General features: G+C 43.2%; 1 protein-coding gene, 1 long non-coding RNA gene and 1 other non-coding gene across 21 annotated transcripts in view, besides 6 other annotated features; 1 reads left to right on the forward strand and 2 right to left on the reverse strand.

The window, feature by feature from the left end:
- Nucleotides 1,070-1,870: an enhancer, noted in NCBI's record as "H3K27ac-H3K4me1 hESC enhancer chr5:92931735-92932535 (GRCh37/hg19 assembly coordinates)". NCBI's record gives its function as "activates a minimal SCP1, AML or CMV promoter by ChIP-STARR-seq in naive H9 embryonic stem cells {active_cell/tissue: H9 hESC(naive)}" and the evidence as "EXISTENCE:reporter gene assay evidence [ECO:0000049][PMID:30033119]".
- Nucleotides 1,871-2,670: an enhancer, noted in NCBI's record as "H3K27ac-H3K4me1 hESC enhancer chr5:92932536-92933335 (GRCh37/hg19 assembly coordinates)". NCBI's record gives its function as "activates a minimal SCP1, AML or CMV promoter by ChIP-STARR-seq in naive H9 embryonic stem cells {active_cell/tissue: H9 hESC(naive)}" and the evidence as "EXISTENCE:reporter gene assay evidence [ECO:0000049][PMID:30033119]".
- On the forward strand, nt 2,343-3,206 carry LOC124901027 (uncharacterized). Its single transcript, XR_007058873.1, has 2 exons — nt 2,343-2,706; nt 3,035-3,206. It is a non-coding gene; the product is annotated as an uncharacterized LOC124901027 (long non-coding RNA).
- Nucleotides 2,347-2,396: a silencer, noted in NCBI's record as "silent region_16178". NCBI's record gives its function as "represses an Ori minimal core promoter by ATAC-STARR-seq in GM12878 lymphoblastoid cells {active_cell/tissue: GM12878}" and the evidence as "EXISTENCE:reporter gene assay evidence [ECO:0000049][PMID:35858748]".
- Nucleotides 4,431-4,932: an enhancer, noted in NCBI's record as "NANOG hESC enhancer chr5:92935096-92935597 (GRCh37/hg19 assembly coordinates)". NCBI's record gives its function as "activates a minimal SCP1, AML or CMV promoter by ChIP-STARR-seq in primed H9 embryonic stem cells {active_cell/tissue: H9 hESC(primed)}" and the evidence as "EXISTENCE:reporter gene assay evidence [ECO:0000049][PMID:30033119]".
- Nucleotides 12,864-13,158: a silencer, noted in NCBI's record as "tiled region #13970; K562 Repressive non-DNase unmatched - State 13:Ctcf". NCBI's record gives its function as "represses a minimal TATA promoter and a strong SV40 promoter by Sharpr-MPRA in K562 cells {active_cell/tissue: K562}" and the evidence as "EXISTENCE:reporter gene assay evidence [ECO:0000049][PMID:27701403]".
- Nucleotides 22,766-26,337, reverse strand: part of ARB2A (ARB2 cotranscriptional regulator A) — a 493,975-nt gene continuing 490,403 nt past the window's right edge. For all 19 annotated transcript variants that reach the window (NR_028080.1, NM_001163418.1, XM_005272110.4 and 16 more), the window contains one exon: nt 22,766-26,170. Coding sequence is in view for 18 of the 19 variants with exons in the window: in NM_001163418.1 (NP_001156890.1) it covers nt 26,028-26,170 (143 nt within the window). In the remaining variant the exon portion in view is untranslated. The remainder of the gene's footprint in view (nt 26,171-26,337) is intronic.
- Nucleotides 23,175-23,983: an enhancer, noted in NCBI's record as "OCT4-NANOG hESC enhancer chr5:92953840-92954648 (GRCh37/hg19 assembly coordinates)". NCBI's record gives its function as "activates a minimal SCP1, AML or CMV promoter by ChIP-STARR-seq in naive H9 embryonic stem cells {active_cell/tissue: H9 hESC(naive)}" and the evidence as "EXISTENCE:reporter gene assay evidence [ECO:0000049][PMID:30033119]".
- Nucleotides 25,737-25,829, reverse strand: MIR2277 (microRNA 2277). Its single transcript, NR_031754.1, has one exon. It is a non-coding gene; the product is annotated as a microRNA 2277 (primary transcript).

Genomic DNA, 26,337 nt, shown 5'->3' on the forward strand with positions numbered 1-26,337 from the left:
CCGGGGGCGCAGCCGGCTTCAGTGTCTGGCGGCGGCAACCGGGGCTTTACCGCATGTGGGAACTTGCTGAGCTGGAGAAGCTACAGAGGGACATGGAGAGCGGGACGTGGGGGTGACGGGAGTGGGCCGTTCAGACGCCACTGAGCCCGGCGCTGGTAGAACCCGCCTCTCTCCAGCTCTGGGAGACAGTTGGAGCCTCAGCGCTGTGAGTCCTGGCTTTGCTCCCCCTTATGGTCCACTGAAGATCTGGCTGTGGTTTGCCCTTCACTCCAGACCCTGTGACATGGGTTCTCAGAAGGGTCCTGGAACTCGGATGGGTGAAAGGAACCCCTGCCCCGCCCCGCTTGTGGCACTTAGGGGCGTGGACCCGGAACCTGGGAGTCAGAGGGCTGGAGCGGGTTCTTCACAGAAGAGGTATTTGGGCCCTAGTGGCCCTTTGAGGGCAGAAGCCTCCCGCTGAGGCCTGTCGGTGGGTGTGCTTGGGGGTCAGCTCTCTGTAACAGCTTTCGGAGCATGAATGTTTTATAGGATCAGAGCGGGCGCTGCGAGAACACATACTGCCAAGGGAGCTCTTTCTTAACGTATTAATAAAGCCAGATCTTTTAAAATAACACCTCTCACCCCTCCCCCTTCCCTCAGCCCCAAACAGGCCCGGATGAGGGAAGAGCTTCACTTTCAGAAGTCACTGGCAATGTTTTGCTTTCAGTGTGCTATCTGGAAGTCTCCACGTCTCCCCGGCACCCCCCGCCACCAAATGCATTAACAAGCTCCTACACTCCAACCCGCTTGTGGTTTTTAATATTCTGGGTGCAGCGCAGCATGGGCAGTGCCGCACTCTCTGTGAAGATGCCACTGCAGGCCCACGATCCGCAGCCTGGGCCAGCCTGGGGACCGGCCTGAGCTAGGGCGGCCAGGCAGGTAGGATATGGAGCCACTGGGACCCGTTTTATCCCTCCCCGGGCCGCATACTCTGCACCACGCCCAGGAATAACGTCTTAGGGCCTCTGTTGACTTCCCTGCAGGTTGGACACCTAAAGCAGGAGGGGTTGGGGAGAGTCCATAGTTAACCCCTGACCGCTTCCCAAGAAGTATCAGGGAGCCCCACTGGCTGCCGGATCCGGATTGGGGTGGGGTGGGCTGCAACCGGATTCCGAGGGGGAGGGGAGACGAGCTGCCTCGGAGAGCTCAGCGATCTTTCCTGCCTTTCTTGAAATGAGATGTAAATATATTCATTACAGTGTGATCCCTCTGATGAAAACAGATAAACATTTTCGTAGGTCGGAAACGTATTTTTCAATTAATCTCAATATGGAGGCCCAAGCGCAAGGCGCCCAGTGTAGACTGGCCCGCCAGCTGCAGTAGCCCGAGATGTACCCGCGCGTGCTCTAGTGTCCAGAGGTGACAGTGGTTAACTTGGCTCTTGCTCCACGAGGCTGGAACGTTGCCCATGACCTCGGGAATCCCAGCGACCTTTCTAAGGCTGGGCTCAAGCCTGGGGCCAATCTTCACAGCCTAGGAAGAAGTGCAGGCCCTCCTATGGCCGCCCAGCCTCCCTCCCGGGCTCCTCTAGGAGCAGGAGGCCCTAGGGCTGAAGGGAAGGGAGAGGTGGGGGTTCTCCAGTGCTCCGCAGGCGCGTCCTGCCCACCCCATCTCCCCGCAGTGGGTTTCTCCTCTTTCTCTTCTGTGACTGGGGTGGCCCCTGTCTGCATTACCCACAGAGAGTCAGTCGTCTTTCCAGGACCGGAGGTCTCTGTGTGTCTCATCCAGAGAGAGACAGAGTCTGCCTTGAATCAGAGGTCATGTGGCCGTCCCCGCCGGGCCGAACAGGTTGCAGGAGCCCTTGGCTTTCCTTCACAGAGAGGGCAGACAGGAATCTGCACGCGCTAAGGGAAGTTTGGGAGCTGCGACGCGTCTATCTGAGCAACGAGTTGAGCCTTCTGATAATTGGGAAGTACCCTTGCTCTCAGTTCTGGCGATGTGAAGGCTCCCCCACCCGACCCAGGCCGGGCTGACAGTGGCCAGTCCTGCGGGCTGAGGGCGGAGCGGTCAGCGGTTTCCTCTCGGCGCGGAGGGACAGGCCCCAGTAGGGGCCAGGCTGCCCCGGGTTCAGCGTCCTGTGTTTCCCCAGCCCCCGGTTGCGGCTGTGGCCCAGGACCTGGGCAGGAGGCGAGGTGGAGTAGCTGGGAGCCTCCTCTGCCTGGGTGGCCTCCAGAAGATTCCTGAGCAGTGAGCCCACCTTCATGCGGGGCGCCAGGGGGAGCCGTGGAACCGGGGCTTGAGGCTCCCAGCAGGTGTAGGCCGGGCAGTCGCCCTGGGCTCGCAGCCACACCTCTCCTGCAGGGGCGGTGGCAGCCCTAAAGAGTCAGGAGAGTAGGGCTGGGCTAACTGGGCGGGGCAGAGCCGACTCTTTCCCCAGGGCAAGAGGAAATTCTTCTTACCAGTTGGAGGTTGCCACATAAGATGACTTCCCTCTCGAAATCACCAGTGACTTAGGAGAGTCAAACGTTCGCTGTTCTAACCCAAAGGCTTGCTGGACAAATGAGAACTTTAGGAGCTTTGAAGTCTGTTTAAACTACCTTAGCCACAAGCTTTGTGGAAAACATCAGAAAAGCCATCTCAGGACGTGCTCTTCTCTGGGAATCACTAGGGAAGGAGTCTGCACCTTATCCGCAGCCAGGGGACAAGGCCTGGTGCTAGGGAGGAAAAGTATGACCTTTGTTCCCACACGCACATCCCAACCTGGGACCAGGCTGAGTGGAAGCCTGTGGTGGGAATGTGGGTCCCTCCTGCTCACCAGGAGAACCATGAGCTTTGGGGACTCCACCCTTCCAGTTGGTCCAGGCTCTTAAACTCTGGCAGCCACAAAGGTTCTTGGTTGGCTCCCAAGAGGTCCGACCACCCAGCTTTGCATTCAGGGGTGATGGGGATCTGGAGTCCCCTCTATCTGAGCCCACCTGAGCTTGTCTGCTTGAAGCATGTAGGGGGGTGGGGGGATTTTATTTTTAAAAATCTTTCTCCTCTTCTTTCATCGTAGGCACTCCTTATAACTCCTACAGTGGCAGAATTGCCTCCTGTGAGCTCTGCAATTCCTCAGAACAAATCACCTGAATGTCTCTGCAAATAGCAGACCATGAGGAGTGTGAGGAGGAGTGGAGGGGGACACAAGTGGGAACTAATAAAACTCTTGTTAAAGGGCCTGCTCAGGATCCGTGGCGTCACTGGGCCTTTTACTTGGGAAGCCAAAGAGTTGTATCCCTAAATGAGTTAAAGACCCATTTACCTCTGTCGTGTCCTATTCATCAAGTCACAAGTTGAGAGTTCCTAACATGAAACTATTTGTTTGCTTACACAACCAGCTGGGCGCAATTTCACGTCTGAGATATCTATCTGAAAGCGCCTCTCATTTATTATCTCTCCTTGTCAGCGAATCCATTTTCCAGCTCCCCCTCCCCCCCTTTGGAGTTTATTTATTTATTTATAGTGGGACTTCTTTGCCTGGGAGAACCTGGGGTTGGAATGCTCCCCAGGGAGTAGCCTCTCCCTGTGCGGGATCTGCTACGCCCAGGGTGTGGGGACCAGGGACTGGCAGAGGCACGCCCGTGGTCACAGCTGACCCCGGCTGGCAGGCGAGCCAGGGTGTGGGGTGGGTTGTGAGTAGTCCTGGCCGGACACTGCGGAGCTGCCTTTCTCCCTGGATGTCCTCTCTACTAGCTCTCCCTGTGTAAGCCTCAACCACCTGTACGAGGAGGGGGTGGTGGGGAGGCCCGGGAGGCGAATCCAGGAGCCTTTCTCCCAGAACGGGGGCCCGAGATACGGATTTGAGAGATGCTTTCACAAAGCCTCACCAAGTCCCACGGGGCCAATTTCTTCTCCGGGGGCCGAAGTGCAGAGTGAGTAACCAAGATGTAAACAGTTGCGTGATGGGTTTGGGGGAGGGGGCAGCGCATTTATTGTGTGTGCGGAAGGGAGAAAGCTGCACGTGATTTCAATTTTGAAGCACAAAGAAATAACATGCAATGCAGAAAATAGGTTTATGAATGTAATTGAGAGGAAAGAAAACAATTAACACGGTGCAAGGTTGCACACTCCATTCCCCACCCCTGGCCTTCTCTTCTACCCCAATTTTGAGAAATTCGGATCATGTGAATAGAGTGGCTTTAGGCAGTTGGATCCGGCTGACAAGGGAACCCCTGATGGGGATCTCAGTGATGGCTGGATAATGGTGTCTATCCATCTCCTGGTCTGCGAAGGCCTCCTCTAACCAAGCTGAAAGCAAAGGATCAAATCCCCAAGTCCAGCATATAAAATACCCCCAGGTGAAAAGGAGGAAGGAAGAAGGGGTGCCTGCAGGGGAGAGGAAAAAGAGAAAGAGATAGCGAGGGATTTCTTTAAGAAAGACCAGGCTGGTCTCTGCAAGCTATCCTATTGTGTTGATTTAGGAAGACATTTGCTGTATATAACGTTTAAGGCTGATAATATCATTGCACAGCCAGATAAATAAAGCGTTGGCCCAACCGTGGGGTCAGCGATCGATCTCTGGGCTCAGAGGAAAGAGGAGAGAGACAGGGTCGTGCACGAGGCTCTGTCTGTGTGCTTGTCAGTCGGCATGCAGGAGCCCGAGTGTATGTGAGCGTCAGGGTGTGCGAGAGAGAGAACCAAGTCTTCAGCTGGCCAAGAGGCTCATTAGCATTCCTAACCCATGGACCTGCGCTGACAACTAACAGAGATATCCCGCTCACCACCAGGCCTCCTCTCCTTTTGTCTTCAGATCTGGAGGAGAAAAAGATTTCTCGGTGGAAGCTGGAGCCTGAACTTCCATGTGGTTGTTGGAGATTCGGTGCCTAAAAAAAGACATACCAGGATCTTGCCTGATCTTTCACTCTGCTTTTAAAAACTTTCCTCTTAAAGAGGGAACTTTTTTGCTTTTCTCTCTCAAAGTATAATATGCTTGTTGAAACTTCAAACTTAAATGGGAGAGAAAAATTCTCTGAAAATATTTTGCCATTTTTCCTTGTTTACACAAAGAGAGGTGGATGTTTACATGTTTGATTCACATACACATGTAAAGCTGGTACTTTCGGTTAAAACTTTCTAGAACATAGCAATCAGGGGTTGTTTGAGCTTCCCACCCCGCTTTCTTTCTCTTGGTCATATTTTATTATGAGATAAAATTCATTTTGTTTTCTGTAATAAGCATCTTGCTCATTATTTTATTGCTCTCCATTGTTCTTTAAATGAAATACATCTTAAAATTACATAGATCTAGTTTTGTATTAACTATCAGAAAAATGCAATTTTAGAAATTTCTATTGTTGTAAGAAGCATTTAAAAATTATGCTCAATCATGCAGTTTTAATGACCTTACACCTATTTGGGGGAGAAGTGTCTTTTAGCCATATCTCAACGGGGATAAATATGTATCCACTTTGCTCTCCCAGATCCTGTTCCTTGAACTCCATCAAACTAGGCAGATAGTTTTACATTGGAGTGTACAAATTATCCCATGTTGACAGATGTTTGTCACTTAGTAACTTCTTTCCAAGTTTTTCCCCCTCCCCTAAGCTTTCTTTCCAGCTTGCTTTGTTGTTTTAAAATATGCATGTCTCTCACTGGAATGCCAGTCACGAGTGCAAACTTTGTGTCCAGCCTCCCACATGAAATGATCCTTTTAAAGGGAACTCGATATGTCTCAATCTGCACTTCACTCAAAGCCTCTGGGTACGGGCCACTCACTCACTGGTCCTGGCTCCAAAATAACTCAGCAGAAACGAGTTTCCAACTAAAAATCCCCTCGAATGTCTCCCAGGGAAGAAATATAGCTCCTATAATTAAAGGAGGCAACGGCCAGAGGGGGAGTGCAGCCGGCAGCCAAAAAAGAAAAGTAAGAGTTTTATTTATTTGCTGATTGAACTTGGGTTGTCATGACCAGCAGGTTTATCCACATTAGAAGTGCTGGAGGTTTGTACTATATGTGCACAGGAGGTAGAGGTGGGGAGAAAAGGAAGGAGAAGGAAAGTAGGAAGAATAACAGACCAGGCCAATTTTGAAGGAGAGAAAATGATCTCTGTGGGACAACGTAAATAAACTTCCTAGCACTGGATTTGACTAAAAACTTGTAGCTGAGGAATATGTGGAGAGGGGTTCAGAGGAGATGGGGGGTAATTATAGTAAACTCTTAGATGTGGGGTATCATCAGGAAAAGGAGGACTCTGTTTTCCCCAGAAAAGTAATGTGACAGCAGGAAATTTATTAGCTGTGCTGTGTGTGGCGGTTAGGTATGTGGGGGGTGGAATTATGGAGGGAGGCTCCAGAGAAAGGAAGAAGTTCCAGGACTCAAAGCAGAAGTGTCATGGAACCAGGAGCCCTCCACTCTCCTTGACAAAAGTTGCCTAGGAGGTGTAGATGTGAAATCTCTAGAAGACATTATCTTTGCACCTTATTAGTTTCATCTATTTGAGCTGATTCTGGCATTAGAACCACATATAAAATGAATCAGCGCACAGGATGAAGAACACCTCCCCACCTCTTGGGCCACCCTCCAAAAGGGGGTAGTAGTGATTATAAGCTTCAAAACACAAGGAGTACTCAGCCTGGGCAGCCCATTTCTATTAAAGAGGCAAAACTTTAGTACTGATGAAAAACAGATGATTTTTTTCTTCCTCTCTGAAACAGTTACTCTCTTTTACTGATGTGAAGTGACGTCAGCAATGCCTGCCCTATCCCCTTGGAGAGAGGGGAGAGAGGAGGAGGGTATGGAAGGAAGGAGCTGGGAGAAAGAGCAAGAGAAAAAGAGAAAGAGGAATTGACAGAAGAGGAAAAAGGGTGGTGGGGGGAGAGAATGAGAATGTATATCCTACACTTTGGGGGGCCAAAAATCCACAAAGAGTGGGCAAAACAATGCTTTAGAAGCCTGTGATTGATAAGACACCTTTCCTTGCTCTCACCCGATCTACATATTCTAACATATGGAAAGCTTAGAGGCCCTGTGCACTTATAGAAGCCGATAATGCATTAGCTCTCAGCAATATTTACAGCACCACTCTTAATACACACCAGATGGTTCGCGACTGTGCCGCCTCAGCCAGCTCACTCCTCGATTTTACTCGGCGGCACTTTGTTGCAATTACGCTCCATGCTGAGACCAATTTTATTGGTGACCTATTTTTCATATTTGCAGCATTTTATGTTAAAAACCTCCTCTCTGGCCTTTTTGTTAAGGGCAGCGCTCAGGAAGGGAGAGTTTAGGAGGACAGCGGTGCTGAGGGTCTGTCGAGGTGGATATTAATATTTATCGTGATGTTACATACCTTGGGTTTAAGTGAGTAAACCGGATAGACATAAGTACTCCGGTCATTATGTTTGTTCACTAACCCCTGTTTGTCAGACCCCCACGGACTCTACACGGCGCGCTTGCCTCAGAGTCAATACATCGGACCATAAATATTGTATTCCATTAATTATCACCCCACTGGCTTATCCTGGGCGCCGGCGTCCTCGAGCGACGCAGGGCAAATGAGGACGCTTCCTGAGCATATTTCTAGGCTGGGAACCCCGCTGAAATTTCCGCGGTGCCTGGGAATTCCTAGAGCCTGAGCGCCTGGCTCAACCCGGTCTGGGCCTGGGGCTGGCGTGCAGGGAAGGGGAGCTGGCGGGAGAAGGCCCGACGCCGCCAGGAGCACTCGGTACCAGTTATCTTGCTACGCAGAAGGCCACTGGGAGAATCCCATTTGGCACGCCGGAAAAGGCTTTCAACTTTATCTCCCGCCATGTAAATAACCCCGAGTGCCTGACTGAGGGACTTTGTTTTGCACCGAACAATATAAATATTCTATTTGCTACAACGCAGGTGTGCTCTTCCTACCTAAACTCTCCCCTCCCTGCCTCGCTTATGGTAACTCTTTCTACCCACCCCCTCCCCTGGTTAAAAAAAAATCACAGATGTTTACTTTATTGATATAACCTATACCGTGGTTAGGCTGAGAATAATACGCCTCAACTAACAGTCATTTAGCAAATAATAGAGGCGTTCTGGATGCTTTCCAACGTTACACATGTACTTGGTCATAAAATGATACGTGAAAAAATTAACATCTGCTTTCCTAAAATAAAGTGTGCCAAGTAGCTTTTTATGAATTCTTTCCTCATTTTAAAAAGAAATATGGAGAGACAAACTAGCACCCAGATGTATAGCACATTTATAATGGTTTTAGAATTTAAAGGTAGCTATTCATTGCACAAGCCATTTAAAAACTGACGTTTTAAAAGCTACTTAACCCCAGACATCTTCGAATCCTGAGGAGTCTTCCAAATTTTATTATTTAAAGAGGAATTTACTGTAATTTAATTGCGTATCAAGGCAGAACTATGTGCAAGTCGGGGCACTGCAGCCTCAGCTCAACAGAAATTCCATCTCGCCTTTTATTTACCTAATTTCTCAGCAAGGTTCCCAGGCCCTTAAGAAGGCCGAGCTGGAAAGTTTAGTTGGGCTCTTTTTTGTTGTTGTTTAATTCCACTATTAGGAAATGAGGCCTACCTTTGAATTATTTCATTATGATTTGGCCTTTTGGGGGAAGGGGTGGGAACTATAATCATTAGTGGCTTTTTATTATTTCTACAATAAATGGCTAGATTCTTTGTTGAATAAGCTGCTTGAATGTTTTGCAGATGTTCCACTTAGACCAAATCTGACCCCCTATTTCCTCCCAAATAAGTCGCTTAAACTCTCCCTCCAGTCCATTTACTGGAGAACATCCTCCCTCAACCTAGCAAGTTGATAAGCCTAGGACATATTCTTATGAAATTTCACCTAACTGCACATGCACGCACACACACACACACCACACACACATTTACACACACACTCCCACCCACTGAGCCTCTGAGCGTGGCAGAGGATAAGAGAAGAGAAAAAAAAAAGGCGAGGAACTGGTGAGGCGGAATGGAAAGGAGGAGGGAAGTCAGCCCAGTGGTTACACCCCTGTGCAGAGGCGCGCCCTCCACTGGCCCCCTTGCCCCACTTTGTGCCTTTGGTTTGAAACACTGGAGGTGGCCCAGGGCCGTTTTCCTCAAAGGACTGAGAATCTTGATTTGCCAAGTGCTTGGGGCCTCCGCCCAAGGTGTTTGGGGGCTGCGTGGTGAGCCGAGGCAAAGCCAGGGTACCCCGATCGTCTTCCGGGCGCATCCACCATGCGGCACCGCCCCAGCCACGGCGGCCGCGCGTGGAGACCCGGGGGCTTAACAAAGGGCTCCGCGGGGGCACGGGGGGGCGCGGCCACGTGACAGGCCCGAGCGCGACGTCGCTGTCCAGCCGCGGGGAGGGGCGGCCAGCCCGGGGGGCCGTGGGGCTTCTTGACATAGAACGTCCGGGCCTCGGGCTGGCCGCGCCGGGCCGCGCTCCGCCGGGATGAGAAGTACTTGTCTGGCTCCGCGCTGGAGAAGCCGCACCTCTCATCTCTCCGGCTCTTACTTGAAAAAGCACTTGGAAGAAACTGTGTGTGCGCTGGGAGGGCCGCGGGGTGGGCCGGGGCCGGCTGCGAGGCTGAGGGGGGCCGGCTGGTGGGTGGATGGGGAGGAGGTTGAAGAAACAGCCCCTTTCTGAGTGACAGGACCCCTTTTCAAAGGGCAAACAGAAAAAAAAAAGAAGAAGAAGAAGAAGAAGCTCCTAATATGAATAGGAGAATTTTCAATGTTTCGCAGTTACTCCACCTCCCCCCTTTTAAAGAGGGATATTTTTTCCTTTCCTTTTTTCCTATTTTTCTTTCTTTCCTTTCTGTCCTTACCCTCCCTTCCTTTCCTTCCTTCCCTCCCTCCCTCCCTCCCTCCGTTCCTTCCTTCCTTCCTTCTTTCCTTCCTTCCTTCCCTTTTCTTTCTTTCTCTCATTAGATTGGAATTGCGTGCACAAACGTGTTTTTATGTGTTTTCAGGAGAAAGAATGATTCATTAACTTTAAAAAATCTTCATGGGTTTGTCAGAATTATTGAAACATGTTATGGTGTTTTCGAGGACCCACTGACCAGAGTGGAAAGGCAACAGACGAGTCACGCTTTCAGACAGGGGGTTTTAAAGATGCTGGGTTTGTAGGGGCGAAAAAAGGGAATATCTTACGAAGTTCTCCCTCATTCCAATAACAAAACCTGTCACATCTTCACTTCTTACTAGAAAAGATAGTGTCCTCATTTCCTCATGTGAACAGCTCTAAAGTGATTACTGAATGTCTCTGTGAGAAATCAGGATGGGAGAGGAAAGCTCATCACATTCAGAGATTTTTTTTTAAGCCTGCCTTCATGTAATTTAACCTTAGAAACACTTTTATTATCCTCATTCTCAACCCCAGCTTTTTTTTTTTTAATTGGAGGGCCATGCCATATAGAGGAGAAAACCTTCTTTTAAAAAAGATTTAAACCCACAGTACCACTTGTTTGTTGTTGTTGTTGTTATCATGATTATGATGGTTATTATGTCGTCCCCTCCTTTTTGCACTTGATCTGATGAGAGAACTTTTTTTAAGAGTGTGAAATGAAGGACACAAAGACATATATCAATGAAAAGAAGAAAGTGGCCCTTTTAATGAGAACTAAAGAAAACCCAAATGTAGATGAAGTGTACCGTAAAAGCTGCTTCAAAGTCCATCTTAATTCCCTTGGGCTCAGTCATCACGAACGCGTGATAATTGGGAGTTCTGCACGGAGGTAAGGCCGCCATAGGGTGGGGAGTCCCGCAGATGCACCTCCCTGCCCTGTAATCCCAAATACATTTCAACCAAGAACTTGGAGATATTACAGAACCCAGATTTGGCTACTCCACCTTCAAACGCTACCTGCCCATTAAAGACATTTTGTTTTCTTCCAGAGCAACTGTGCTCACTAGGGGAGCATCATCCTCTGTCCCACCCCACCTCACCCCCCAGCAGGCTGATATAGGCTGGACAATATTGTAAGGTTTTGATCATTATTTTGTGATCAACTCTGTTTAATTTTCTATTTATTTTCGGACCTGAGCCTTTCTGGATCACAAAAGTCCCCACAAGTAACACAGCAATAAATCTGAACAAAAATAAGACAGATTTCCTTATCGATGTGTAATAAAGTTAAAGGACATTGTTTTGTCAGACAAGCGCTAAGTAGAAAATAAATCTCAGGGTCTGGGGAAACAAAACGGAGCGCTGCTGGCATGTGTGTAAATTTACTTTTAAAAGCAATAAATCAATGTTAAATTAAACAGCTGGGTACCCTGTCTAGGAGAAGGTTCCGTGTTTAAGAAGACCTTGATGGGAGAAATGTACTATTTAACAAGACACACACACACACACACACACACACACACACACACAAAGTTAAATTTTTATTGGCATCCGGAGGCAAGACTGCCCTGGGAACTTTTCTTCTGAACTTCAGAGAGGGAGAGGGAAATAAGAGAGAGCATGAATTGTGTCTACTGTCCATCCTCAGATCTTTACACATATTTTCAGGCATAAGGAGAAAAGGAGGTTTTGTAGAAATGTATTAGATGTGTTCTAAATTGTGGGTTAAACTATGAAGTCTCTCTTTATTGGCTTAGGTTTGTTGGGTGGGTTGTGATTTTTCTGAGATTTTTTTTTCCTGTAAGTTCTATGACCTGTGAGTGTGTTAAGCATACTCTTATCTCATGCTTCCTTTATTCTTAATGTGGTTGTTTTGCACAGCAAATAGCACAGTAGAAAAATCAAGAGGACTGTTATTTCATATCTATTGTGCTTGTGTTCATTAAGTAGCAAACCTGAGATTGGAGTAGCATTTGATATTCAACAGGAATATTTTAATATTTCATTTTCTAATTTTTTTGTTTTTGTTTTTGTTGTTATTTTACAAAACTTCACTTCACTGGGAAAAAAATTGTGTGTGGGACATGGAGATGAGGAGAGAACAATAGAAAAGCCTAGCTCTGGCTCTGTATTCTAAGAACAATGTGAATCAATGAGCTACTATAGAGGCAATATTCAATAGCAGGAAATTAAGAGTAGTTTAAGACTAGCATGTATATACACTGGATTATTTTCCAGCCTTAAAATGAAATTCCAGAAAGACTCTTTAGAAAGCACACATATTATTGAGATGAACTCTCTCAGTCTTTTGAATTCAGATGGACTGGTTTAAAAGAAAAATATGCGGTACCTGCCTCTACAGAAACCAGCAGATTATTCTTTACTTTCTTCACATTGAAATCCCAGAAGCTTTATTTTGTAGTTACATTGTTAGCCCAGTTCCAAAGAATATTCATATAATTAGGTAACATTATTCAAACTTTAAAATTATTTTTAAAAAGTGTTTCAACCCCACCCCCACCCCCTTCAAGCTACACACTAACAGGGTAGTTTTCTAGCTTTCTAGCTACCTTTGACTTTTCTTCAGCCAAAGAAAATATCAAAGACCCAGTTGCCTGGAGAAGAATAAAGTTACAGCATTTATATTTAGGAGGCAGCATTCCATTTCCATGACCATCAGTGGCTTGTTAAGTAAATATGTGTCTTATGCCACTCGGAGAGAGCTCAGATCGCCTGTCAGGAGGCGTCTGGGCAGCCTTGTAAACTCAGAGTGACTTCTCATATCGTGCTATGTTTTCCCAGCGATGCGCTTTCCTCTGCGCTGAAGCCCTGGGAATCATTTCAGCCCAAGGTGAGCCTTTCAGGCACTGCTCTTTGTCCCCATTTGGATAAGAAGGTGCAAAACTAGTTAGACACTAGGCTGATTTTGGGGAGGTGGTAGGAGGGGATGGAGAAGCGGCCTGTTCTAATTAAAGACAATAAGCAATCCTGCGAGGAGCTGTCCTTTAGCCTTGGCTGGAGGCAGAAACGGTCTGTCTCACCTCAGTTGTTAGGTTTATTTGAGCTGGTCGGTGAGGCGAAGAGCAGAAACTTGCAGGTAGCTCTGGGCTCAGGTGAGACTGGGTGGATGGTTAAATCACAGCAAGTGATCTCGAAGTCCCCCTTTACCTCCCCATCCCCTGTCCTTCTGTGCTCTGTGCTTGACTCAGGCATACTTTGATTCTAACTTTGCTTGCTAGATGGCGCTCGGTGTCTCAGGACTTTCTGTTTCAGAATTAAAGCGGCTTTTTAGCACCGTTGTTCTGAACTATTTGTGGGCATTTGATCAGTACAGTGCTGGTAATGTTATTATTGCCCTTGTTTTCGTCACACTTTTTCTCTTTTTGATTAAGGTATCGTCCAGGTGGGAGCTGCCCATCTTAATCCATATAATAATGAAATTCAGGGAAACTCTGCACCTAAATTTAGGGCACATGTGTGGTTCAATTACCTGTTCTGGTGCACTTAAAAAGGCACCTTAGTAACTTTCCTCCAAGAATGTGATTGAGGTTTTCAAGAGGACAACTCAGCAGGTCCAGATGGTGATTTACAATCGTCGAGGTTTCCCACTAGAGTCCACCACCCTCTCCCACCACTACTCCCCATTCTCACTCGAAGATGAATCAGGCTGATGTGGGGAACTTATTACTTTCATTTGTCATTATGAGATAGCATTAATTGATTGAAAAAGTATTATGATTTCTTTATAGCCCAAGTACTAAAAATTTATGTCTACAAAGAGATATATTTTAATATTAGTAATGAAAGTCACTACACAGCTTGTTTCACAAGAAGAATGATTTGTGGATTCTAATGTATATTTATTTCAATCACTAAATGATTCTTCTCAGATATTCAAAACACTTTTGGAGGGATTCCTTTGTGTTGAAGCACGAAGAGAGAAAATCAGTAGTTCTAAATTTCTGGTGGAAAAAATTAAGATAAGCCAAAAAGACCTGAATATTGTTTTGTCGAATGAAGATGTCATTTTCACAGCACCCACTGCTCTCATACCATTGTCTGTTTTTTAAAGAAAGGATTGCTGGTGAGGAAGGCAACGGTTGCAAATTAAAAATATCTCTTTATAACTTTAAACACTTTGACATGGGAGAGTTTAACTTGTTACTTGCTTTTAGGATTTGGAAACTAATTTGTATAGAAATGTTCTACCTTTGGGGGAAATTAACAACACACAGAGCTCGGTGGTTTGGAAACCTTTTGTCAAACCTTGGCTGCTTTGGTGAAGAACCCCGCAAAGACTCTCTCTAGGTGTTAGGCTGAAACTAGCAGGCGCTGAAAACCTAAAGCAGAAAATTTACAACTTGATCAGCCCCAGCCACACACCAAAAAACCTGCTACTGGTGCAAACATATGTTACAGATTAAGTTAAGCAAATGGCTCTCATTTTTTCAGGGTTGAAAGTTGATCATGAAAATTCAAATTTGAGTGCATTGTGCTTCTAATAGATCACTAGATCCTCAGATGCTTACAAATCCTCCCCAACCATTTACTCAAGAAATTTCATATATTTTATCACCTTCTTGAGATCCTAGCTTAGAATCTCATGCAAATTGACTCTAGTCGGGTATTATTTTCCAGGAACACATGTAGTTTTAAAAGTTGGCTAAGTTGAAAACTGGCTGTATTCTTCCTTCTAATGTTAAACTGCTAAATAGCTGAAGTGTAACTCAGTTGTTCTAATGCTTTCTCTGTTTCCTCGTATACCTACTAACTTTTAAAAGCAGAAATTAAACTGCAGAATTTATTTTAAAGTTTCATTTGCTGGAGAAGTAAGTGATTTTTTTCACAGCATGAGGCAAAATAAAGGAGTGTTACCAAAGCCTTTAATTATGTCAGGAAAGACTGAAATCATGGTATTTCTTTTAATGGGGATAACTATCTTTTGCAACCTCTCTGTGGTCATCCAGCCACCTCCCAATTAAATTATTTGAAGACCAGCGTGGCTACTAAAATGCCTGGTAAAGAAGTTTAGAATTAACTCCCCACTCTCCAAGGTAACTCCCTTGCAAGTTGCAGAGGATGGAGCCAGGCATCCGACACCTGGGGTCCCTTCTTCCGTAATCGCGGGAGTTTGAAATCATCCCCCTTTACCTCTCCACATTCGAATGATCATCCTGCAGATTTTAACCGATATTGTCATGTTGAAGTTTGGTGGTTATTGTTTACATCTCTCCTTTCCCCAAGGGGTCTTGGTAAACGTTTAAGAGATTATTGATTTCCAAGAAACCAAATAAAGAAGGCTGTTCTTTTATAACATATGAAATACACACTTTTCTTTAACTAAATAGGCAGTGTATACTTGACATTGACAAATGGGCAAGAGACAAGGAAACTTATTTTAAAAGACTTTGAAGGGGAAAAAAATGGATACAACAGCAGCAATCCTATGGAATAGTAGGGTTTTAATTGAAACAAACGCTGGATAATAAGGAAAAAAATAGTAATCTATGCTGTAAAATGGTTTAGAGTTTTCACCGAACACACACAGATGGCGAACAAACATCACTGAAGATGCTCCTCTCAGGGGGACCTGATCAGTATCCTCAATGTTCTGATTTATTATAAAGAAAATGAGTTTCCCATGCTTCTTTTCTTCACAGTTTTCTCTGGCAAAAGTGGTTCTGAAATTTCTACTCAGGTCTGGGAGTTTCTGACGTACTTACAATAATCCAGAAAAGTCATTCTGAAACTGGATTAGGAGCATACTTTTTTAAAAAAAGTAAGAAATTCTTGATTAATGAAATGCAGATCTTAACTACCCCTTTCCTCCAAGTCATAAAGGAAATCCCTTGTGAAAGAAAGCGATTCCCAAAACCCAGACTGAGAGAGTAAACCTTAGGCACCCAGAAGTTCAATAAGCGCTGTCCCTTCCACCCCAAATCTCCACAACTCCCCTAGCCCCGACAGAGGAAAACCTCACGTCCTTCTCTGCACCTGATTCCCTTTGCTTGCTCCTGAACTCCGGAAGGCTAGAACGAATTTATCCAAAGATGGAAGAAAGCTCAGCACCTGGAAGCTCCCCCAAAGGGTACTGGCCAAAGATATGCAAACATTATGTAGATATTTCAGTTGCGGGTTTAGATAGTGGGAGATGGATCCTAGTCTAGAATATTCGAGTCTTCAAGTCACTATTATTCAACAGGTCTTCGCTATGCTGCACACTTCAGATGCCAAACTGCATTAGCTAACGTGAGTTGTCCCCCGTTTTCGTAGGAGGGTCGTGTTGCTAGTTTAGTTTCCGGCATGGCCGAGTTTCTCTAGTAGCATGGATTTACCTTAGTATTTGGGCAAAATGACTCTTGAGATGGAAAAAATGACCAAACTACGGGAAAAAAATAATCTTTGAGGAGAATTCAGCAGTGACTTTGCAGACTAAGAAAAGACAAAAAGTTTGTGCAAGCAGTGCTATGAGAAAGCAGTGTGTTGATGATGGCTGTTTCGAGAAAACAAACTAAATTGTTAACCCGTGAAGGAGTTAATAAAATATTTGTATGTCTTATGGGACATAAAAATAAAGTGTTTTGAAGCTAAACTTTTGCTTTAGTTTACTGAAAATTTTCCTTGCAATACTATGGCAAATAGATAATAATTTATCCTGAAATGTATTGTAGTTCATGTTACTATACAGAAGCAGTTTTCAAATAAATTTATTGAGGGCATTTTATAGGCAAGAAACCCATTAACTTAAGATATTAGTGTTCTCTCCCTTTTCACTTATTCCTGACTCTTTCTAGCAAAGTTTGGATCAAGTTGGTTTGAAATTATTTTAGTACAATTGATATTTAATAGAAATTTGGTTTTGACCGTTTCACCTACTCTAAACCTAGTATTTTCGTCCCCAACAACGGTTCAAAAGAGTGGGTGACCAGAATGGGGTCCTGGTGGGAGGGAAGAGATTTCACTCAAAACCCAGCAAGTGAGAAGAGTTTCAATACAGCAAGGTGCAATTTGAAATTTACAAAAAACTAATCTTGTCTTAGGAGTGGCAACTTAAGTGTTGCTAGGGAGACCACGCAATGAAAAAGATACCACAGGGAAGTGATCTTCCTTTATTGTACTTTGCTTAACGCGACGGCAAAAAGAAGAGAGCCAAACAGGGAGAGGTGCCGAAAAGCACAGCTTGGACTTAAGGTCTGCAAGCAGGAGAAGAGGTGATGGGTATTGAGCCAGACGCGTCCCCTTTTTGGTGCTGTCAAGTAAGTTGCCGTCAGGCTCTTTAGCGCGCGGCGGGCCGGGCGCCCGCAGCGGAGCCGCCTCTCTCCGGGAGGTAATTAACCAGTGCCTGGGCGCACCCGAGCCAGTCCGACAGCTCCAGCCACTGGCAGAGCCGTGGGACCAAGGGCCGGACGGGTATGGACTTAGATCTTCTGGAATGCAGATCTCTCCAGACAGATTCAGAGCCCGGGAAGAATGTGCTCCCAGTACAGACCTCTTAAAGTGCAGTCATGTACAGCTTCTGCCAGCTATGGGTGGTGGTGAAAAGTTGGCCACAGAAAAGTCGGGGGTAAGGGGAAAGGGGAGGGAAGATCCCTGCCATAGAAATGACAAGAGTGGCGCTGCTTTCAGCTTAGACTAGATGCAAATTCAAGGAGACTCTCAGGCAAATGTTGTGTAAACTCTGGGCGCTGTAACACCGGCTTGGAGCAAGCAAGACTCTCCACCCACAAACTGCATATTCTTTAAAGTCACTGTCGCTTTAGGCTCAGATCTTAAGATTTCGGGAGCCAGTTTTCTGTGGCGGGGGAGTGGTCGGAGAGAGGAATCAGGCGAGGGCCAGAACGTTGGGGTTCTGGCCAAGGAAGGGGAGAGGGAAGGGGGCGGGTTGGGGGGGAGTGGGGGGGGGGTGGGGCGCGCGCGCTGGGCGCTGTCCATGGTGCTGGGGAGAGCGCGGCTTCATTTCGCTTTGCTGTCCCCAAACCAAGCTCAAGTGTATAAAAGGGAAACGGACACCAACAACTCGTGCGGCTAGATTTTTTTTTCCTCCCTGCGAATGTAGAAAATACAAATGTGGCTGTAAAATTTAAATAGTACTTTATGGGGGTTCTATTCCATATTTCACAGTCATTACTGCTTAGACAGCAGTGTTAACTGGTAGCTTCTTCTTTAAAGTGTTCCATTTTTCAAAGTAGTGTAATCAGCAATTCTTGATGTACAAAGTAAAGAGTAAGGAGGAAATAAAAAGGATGATTTGAGACTTGATTTGAAACTCTAAACATATCCAGGGGCAATTAGCTATTTCCAGATTTGATGGAAAATAAAAGCACAGCATGACTTAACCTGCTAGATAACATGAGTTTACTGAGGCAGTATTAAATATATATAGATTCAATTTCACTTAAATAATTCTCTAAACTCCATACCTGCCAAAAGCTATAGTTATATTTTTGTCAGCAAGAATAAAAGGAGCAACTTGCTATTGTAGTGTGTGTGTGTATAAATTAGAAATGGTTAAGATTTCATTCTAAGTTATAAAATGGTACTCTAATAACTGCATTTTTTAAAAAAACAAATTTTATTTTTAAAAATACAGGTGATCAGAAATAAAGTAGAATACAGTTAAAATTATTTCAAGATTAGGCTAAATAGAAACATAACCTAGGAACTGAATCACACTCTTGTAACACACATGTACAGACATATCACCTGCCAAAATTTCAGGTAGACTATTAAACTACGTTTGGTTCAACCAGAAATGTGCAAAACAGGAAAGTAATTGAATTTGTTTTAATCAAGAAAATCTTACTTAGCCTCCGCAACTGGAATCCATGTGACAATGAAGAAGGAAAGGGACATGAATTCAAACAGCTGACACAATGATCAGCAGCAACTGACAGCATCTCATTTGATATTTGATATAAAGCACTAGATCAATATTTGTGAGATCAATGCAATTTTAATGGTTTTTTTCAAGCCGGTATGAAAGCCAAATTGTGACACTCTGTGCTAGGGTTATTTTTAGAGGTGGTTACTCCAGGGGATGATATTAAGTAATTTACTGATGCAAAGCAAAAGCAAAAATGGGGAGGGGGGAGGGGAGGAACCAACAAAACCACCACAACAAACCATCAATATTTCTTCAGTTGATAAATCCTGATTATCCAAGTACCCAGAGAAGGTGTGAACATTTATTGGAAAAAAGCCATTTATTTAATTATGGCTAAAAAAAGAAGAAAATAAACCTTTGAAAAATTATTTGGAGGTACATGAAGATGAACTGGATCAGAGGCACCTTTTTCAGACACAATGGGATATGGTGACATGTGAGCAAAAAGAAATGAAAATGATAAAAAGAGAAAACCTAGGCCTTATAGCCACAGGGTCAATCCCCTCATGTGTGGAATTCAGTGGGAAATAACAAATTTTTCTGCATCTTTGGCAGAGTGGAAAACTGAGAGCCCTATCTGACACTCTAAGCAATGTTCCCACAGAGGTCATATAAAGCAAAAATAATTAATAGGCCTAAATATTGTGTATTGTTTTCCTTAGAAGGATTTATACCATCTAAAAAATAGAATGTATTTAATCTAACTCAAAGACACATAGTTCCTAACCCTAACCTTATATTTTGACTCATTTGCTTACAAATTCATTTTGATAAAAATGCTAAACTTGGATTTATTTGTTTTTACAGATTCAATTTTGAGGAATTTTCACCTAGAGGAATCCAAGATCTTCAGTCCAAACAGCAATTTCTGGGGAGGTAGATGATGGGGGGAGGGGTAGCAGAGGGGTTATAATTAGCTGAACATTTCAGTAAGAACAGTAACAAACATGAGATGTGGTGGTCCTGGGCAGTGTTCCGTGACAAGCAGAGGTTTACATTTTTTAGGTTCAAGAGCAGGTAAATGTTTCGTTTCGAGTTCAACTTTAGTTAAAAACTTGGGAGAATTGGTTTCTTTTTCACTTGAAAGAATAAGAACATTTTAGGAAATTTCTGATGCCTGACCTAAAGACCTCTCATCTTTCTTCAGATGGAGAATAAAACACTTCAAAACTGCAATTCTTGAAAAATTTTTCCCTTAAATGTTTCTTTTTTCCTGATGTTTTTGTTGATGACAGTAAATTGCCTGATAAGAAACTGACAGCTCACTTCAAACAAAAAGCACTGTATTACATGCTCTGAAATGAAATTCCTATCTAACTCCTTTTGTAGAATTAAATCATGCACCTAGTATATTCCTTAATAATCTAGGTAAAGGCATATTTTCCAGGATTTCAATAACTCCATAAAAAGTCTCTCTCTGCATGTGTCTTTATCCCTTATAGTATTTCAAATTTGGCAGATTGCCTACAAACTAAAGATACCAACAATTTAAATAAAATTTTCTTTAATGAAATAAAGCCAACCTTACACACAAATGCACATTACAGAGAGATAATTTACAGGTTCAATGAACTTGAAGCATAAAATATTTATTACAATGCCTTGCAGAATTGAAGATGAAAAATTTATTTAACAAGTTTACAAACATTCATGGTAACCAACATATACACAACACCTACTATACCATAGGCATCGAAAAGACAGACATATTGTATATGTTGTCTGTGTATTTCAGGTGAAATGGACAGGAATGGGCACATGTACCTCATGGATGAATATGTGTGTATGAGACATATGTATTTTTTTTCAATTAGGTAGGTCTTTTTTAAAATCTTGAGTTATTCTAAAGAAGAAAATGAACTTTATACTCAATTGTAGTTAATCGAACTTCATTTTGGCTAATCATAATTTGACCAGTGATTTTTTTTCCCTCAAATCATGAAGGACAGTGCTCAGAATTTAATAGTGCACCCAAAATGCTGCTCTTCTTAAGCCACTTTGAAGTAATGCTAGTGAGTCTACGATCCAGATCTACATGTTAATCTGTAGTTTTGCCTTCAAACAGAATTCAGTTACAAAGAACTTGGAAAGATTTTGAATCTATTCAGGAGAGAAAACTCTTTAATTTTCTGAGGAGTAAAAACTCCCCAAGAAACTTCATATAGCTTCTTAGATTTTGCTTAGCATACGTGATAAAACATTGATTGTTGCAGTTTGGTGACCCATGAAATTTGGGGGTTAGTTTTCTCTTCAGACCAGAGCATATAATTATGCAAATAAAGAGCTGTCACTGATCTAGTGAAATACTCACAAACACATGCACTCTGAAATTGGACAGAAAAGTGAAAATGGTTGGTGATGTGATGGTGCCATGGTTTGTTTTCCTGCCAAGTTTCTATCCAAATTCATTATTCAAATTGTAAACTTTAAAAGGAGATATATCATTCTTGGGGTGTTGGTTGTCTTTTCATTTCAGATTCTTTGTATTGGTATTGCAGGCTGGCCACAAAGTACAGTTCAACATTATTTTACCCATGACAGTTCTCCATATTACCCGAGGTAATAGCCAAGGAAGAAAAAGATGAATGATCTAAAAGGAAAGATGTAGGACTTCTCTAGATTTCTTTCTAGAAACATGCTTCATGTCTGTTTCAAACAGAACTCAACTCCAACAATATAAAGGATATAGTGAAAGGTTTTTCACAAATCTCAAGGCGAAGGACTGGGAAAAGTTGCTTAGAAGGCCTCATGGACTAAGTCAAATTTCCACTTTCAAGCTTTTTATATTCCAGGGGAAAATAGTGGTCACTGTGTGGTATCCACTTCATGGTCAAACTTTCAGGATGACTTTCTCCCATCTAGCAATTAAAGCCAACTATTTAATATTTGGTGATTTTAACCTTTGTGGTTCATTTTACAGTTATTACTTCTCTAAAACCTTTGTGCTGGGAATTAACAAGAGTTCTTCAATCTAATCACGCTCTTTGGCATCAAGGTCTCCCAATTCTAAAGTTACCATTGCATAGGCTGTTGCATAATTTTAGACGTCATGGAGAGTCCCACTGATGAAATCTGAGAAGGCTCATGTCAGACCACTGACTGCTAAAGACATCACTACATGAAAGATCAGTAGTGTGAAACTTTAAAAACATCGATCCAAATGAATCAATTAAATCAACATTCATCCCTCTTAAGTGTGTGGTTTAAAACTATCATTGTTGCTTTTTTAAAAAAACCTTACATAGATTTTGAGATAAATGCTGGAATGCTTTGATGGCTACTTCTATTCTCGAATCTCCGTTAATCGACTTTGTGCTATTCCCCTCTTTTCAACATCTTCCACTTGGTGTACATTCTTTACTTTTAGTACAGTGCATGACAGTTGCAATGCTTTAAATCTAAAACCGCCTAACAAAGCTGACGCTTTAGGTAGGGTAGCTTTAAGCTCTGTGAAGTGTTGATTAAAAACCCTTTCCCAGACTCAAACTGATCTTTTTGGAGATTAATAGAATATTAGATAAAAGGAAGACGAACAATTCAAGAGACTCCCACTCAGTCATTCTATATAAGGAAGGAAGGAAAGTATTCAATTTTTGAAAGGGAGTACCTCCTGGAGTCTTTTATTTTATATTATTATGGCCACTAATAAGTAATAATAAAATAACCACCACCATCATCCCCCTTTTTGCCACCCATATTTCAAAGATGAGAGTGTCTCACATTTAAAGACATTTTTTTTTCTCCACAGAGGCATGTGGAAAGTTTTTGAGAAATTTTTACACTTTCTGTAGTAGTACTCTTTCTTAAATGAATTAGGATTACAGACACCAACAGGAACCTGTCAGTTTACAGTAAAAAATATGATTATAACAAGAGACACACGTGTTTGGATTGAACCGCAGATAATCCAGAGAAACAAACAAAATCTAACTTATTAGCACGGATAATACAGTTAGCATATCTCTAAAAGGGGCTAAAGGTTTTAAGAAAGCTGTAAAAGAAATGTAAGTTATTTTCAGATCGAACACAGTACATCAAGAACCTATATACATGTACTTGGAGGCAACTTAAACTCACCAGACTCCTCTTGGAAAACACATTTATTTATGGCATATTCAAGTGTATTTTATAAAACAACAATTTAATTGATAGGTTGTTCAGATTTCCTTGCTAAGGAGATATTTTAGATATTAAAAACAACTGTCTTAGAAATGTTAGCTTTGTAAAAGGTGCAAGCCAAATAGTGACTCAACTAAAGTTAGGATATTACCTTACAGCAATACTAACAGAAATAAAAAGTAGCCAGAAGGTTTAAAATATTGACGGATGCTGTCTCATCCTTCCTTTTATGTTTTTGCTTTAAAAAATCTCTATGCAATTGGTGAATAAGCAAGAATTCTTCTGAGCAAGAATAATAACACCGCTGTTGTTGGGAAAATTGTTTTTATTTTAAAATGGAAATGGAAATATAATATACAGGAAAAGCTTGTGCTTTCCTTTTTTTTTTTTACTTCGCATAAACAATAATAATGCAATCCAGGTCAAAGCACGAGGCAGAAACTCGAGAAAAGAACAGTTATTAAAGGTACATGGTCTTCTTTTCAAATATCCATGAAAACATTTAACGACGGGATGGCTAGTACCTATAGAAAGCTCCAAAGCAATAATCTGGCCTTTAAGTTTCGACGGGACTATTTTGAATCTTAGATTTATCAGTCACTCCTTTCCCATTCTACTTGTTCTAAGAATTAAGTATATAATTAAAATAAAAAGGCCACATCCTGACTTTAAATCTCCACTCTCCTAAAAACCTGTTTGAGGAAACAAAAATGGGGAAGAAGATCAGAACAAAAATATTGTTAACACTGGCCGTCCTCATGCAGGTGGGCTACTACCAACGCTGGTTGTTACTCCAGGAAAATCGAGGTGAACATTATTACATTTATATCAACAAACCCATAATCAACAGGTTAAAAAATCCTACATTACAAAGAATCTGATCACTTATCAGTTGGTGGTCTGGAATAGTTTGCCTAGCTCCCTCTGGGCTGCTACAGCTCAGATTCACAAGTAGAAATTACATTTACACAACTTAAGTTTGCAAATAGCTCTCCATAAATAGTTAAACCAGGCCTAACCATCCAGTAGTTTTAAAGTATTAGAGGCAATTAAATAGTGATTTATTCTAGCTATAAGTAAAGGTTTAAAAAGAGGAGAGATGATTTCAGAGAAGGAATAGCAGTGATTTGGTTTATAAACAGCATATTTATTGTGCTCTAATTCAGGTGCAGAAGCTTCGCCAATTTAGCATTGCACAAGTGTTGGTTTTTTATAAATGCTATAAAATTGTTTCCTGTCAACATTTTCTTATACTGAAAACACAACACAATTTATAATACCTTGAAAAATATATTCAATTCACATCAATTCTTGAATCTCTCACTGGAAGGAATGTTTGTCCCTCAACTAAGATTCCGGAACACTGCTGAAGATACCATTATTTTACACAGTTCACCACTACTTCTAAAATAGTAATGATTGGATAAAAAGGGTCAATATCACAGACAAATGTGCTTGATGTTGTTGGGGTTTACTCATTTTAAGCCATCTGGTAGCTGAATAAAATGCCATTTTGATTTTTCCTCCTATATAGTTGATTTTGCTTAAGTAACACGAAAATATATGCATACCTGAGCACTGAAAAAACATCTTTAATTTGTCATCATTAAGACTATAGAACCAATGAATGTACTTGTATGTCAAACACAGCAATGAGATATTAACAGCTTTAAAACTTGTTGAAATCGGTTCATAATATAAAAACATTTAAGCACGAAGTGGTTGATTTTAAGTTACTTTTCTGAGGCATTAGACAGTTCGAAGTCATTTTGGGTACATTTTATCATGTCCTCAAATAAGGCAGGCATATTAATTGTTGCACACACTTTAAAAAAGGATGAAAACTATTAAATTTATGTTCTCATCTATTAGAAACAATCTTTACTAGGTAATTAAACTTTTCAAGTAATTAAAATATAATGTGAAATTTTAAGATTTTAATCTAAAAGTCAGCAAAACCTTAACATCTCCTGTATTTCACAGTGTTGGCCACATCTTAGCTGGATTAAAATAATTGTTCAAACTGTAGGGCTAAACCCTACAGAGGAAGCGGAGTGCTAAAAATTATACCATTGGACTGAGAGAAGAAATTCTTTCACACCAAGTCCTTCTCTTCTTGTTAAAGCAGAAAACTAAAAGGATAATTTTAGCCCCACTTAGCCTTTCAGAAGAAAAAGGCTGCAGAGCACAAAGGTTTCGTTTCCTGATGACAATAAAAAAATTCTCTCCCTAGAAGGGCCTAACTCCAGGAAAGCTCAGAATAGATCATTCTGGAAAGGATTAACAACAACCTTTCTCCACAGAGAGATTTAAAAAGCAAAACTTAAGTGTGTTATATCTAAATTACAATGCCACACAGTACACATTATGTGTTTAAAAAGTAAAGTCAATCCCAGTGATAACAGTTGGAAATTCCATTGAAAATGGGACCTTCACACCTACACTTAAAAGAGCTGCCCATCATTGTTTTGGTTTTAACAGTCTCTTCTGAAATCAGAGACTTGTGTAAACTCTCACAATTAGCTGGCAAAAGGATTTTCAGCAGTAATGCGGATTCAGTACTTTATAGATTTTTATGCAGAGTTGTTTTTTTTTCTGGTCCCGAAATGAAAACAGGGAGAGAACAATTTGCATTCCCCAAACTACATGGTACATCATGGCATTCAGGTTCTGAATTTGAAATCGGCTTTGGAGTGTGTGTGGAACTTCCTTAAAAAAAAAAAAAAAGAGGTGGGTAATAAGATGCCCTCAGGGAAAAACCTAGTGAAAATGGAAATCTGAAGTCTGGAATAGAAGTTTGCTCCAGTTGAGAGCGGGGAAAGATGGACATGATTAAGGAGGGGGAAGCAGCAGCGGCTCCGCTACGGCGGGCGCTAGGACCGCGCCGACGCCGCCGGACCCGCAGCGCCCGCGCGGTCTCCTTCAGGGCAATTAGAGCTTCGCCGGCCGAGCCAGGCAGGGCGCTGTCAGCCTTAATGTGAGCGCTGACTGGCAGCGCTCAGCCCGCGCTCAGCCCGCAGGAAGCACGACCAGTGAACCCATATTGCTTTGACAGTTGCACTCATCTAGAAATAATGCAAAACGCTATTTAGATGTATATATCACGACCCTGGGCTCTGGGAAGAAAACAATCTAATGAGGGGCTGGGAGTCCGCTCGACACAAGCAGTGAGGAGGCGTGCGGGTGGGTGCGCCAGGGCGGCCTCCCCCGTCGCGCTCGCTCCTCTTACAGCTCTTCGTGCTTGATGCGGTGGGAGCGGCGCGTCACAGCCGGCTTCAGGGAGCTGGTCTTGGCCTCTGAGGCTTCGGTAAAGAATTTGAAAATAGACGGAAAGCTCTTCCAGGAAGTTAGCTCGTGACGGTCGGTGCCTGCAAAGAACAACACATTCGGTTACCAGGTGGCCACGCGGGGCCAGGCGCGGTGAGGGCGGCGAGGGCCAGGCCGAGCCCCGGCTCCCGACCACCCGGTCCCGCCCCTCCCCGCCCCTCCCGCCTGCGCCCCGCCTCAGCCGCCCGCGCCCCGCCCCTCAGCCAGG

This window comes from Homo sapiens, chromosome 5 (assembly GCF_000001405.40).
Source record: "Homo sapiens chromosome 5, GRCh38.p14 Primary Assembly".
NCBI lineage: Eukaryota > Metazoa > Chordata > Mammalia > Primates > Hominidae > Homo > Homo sapiens.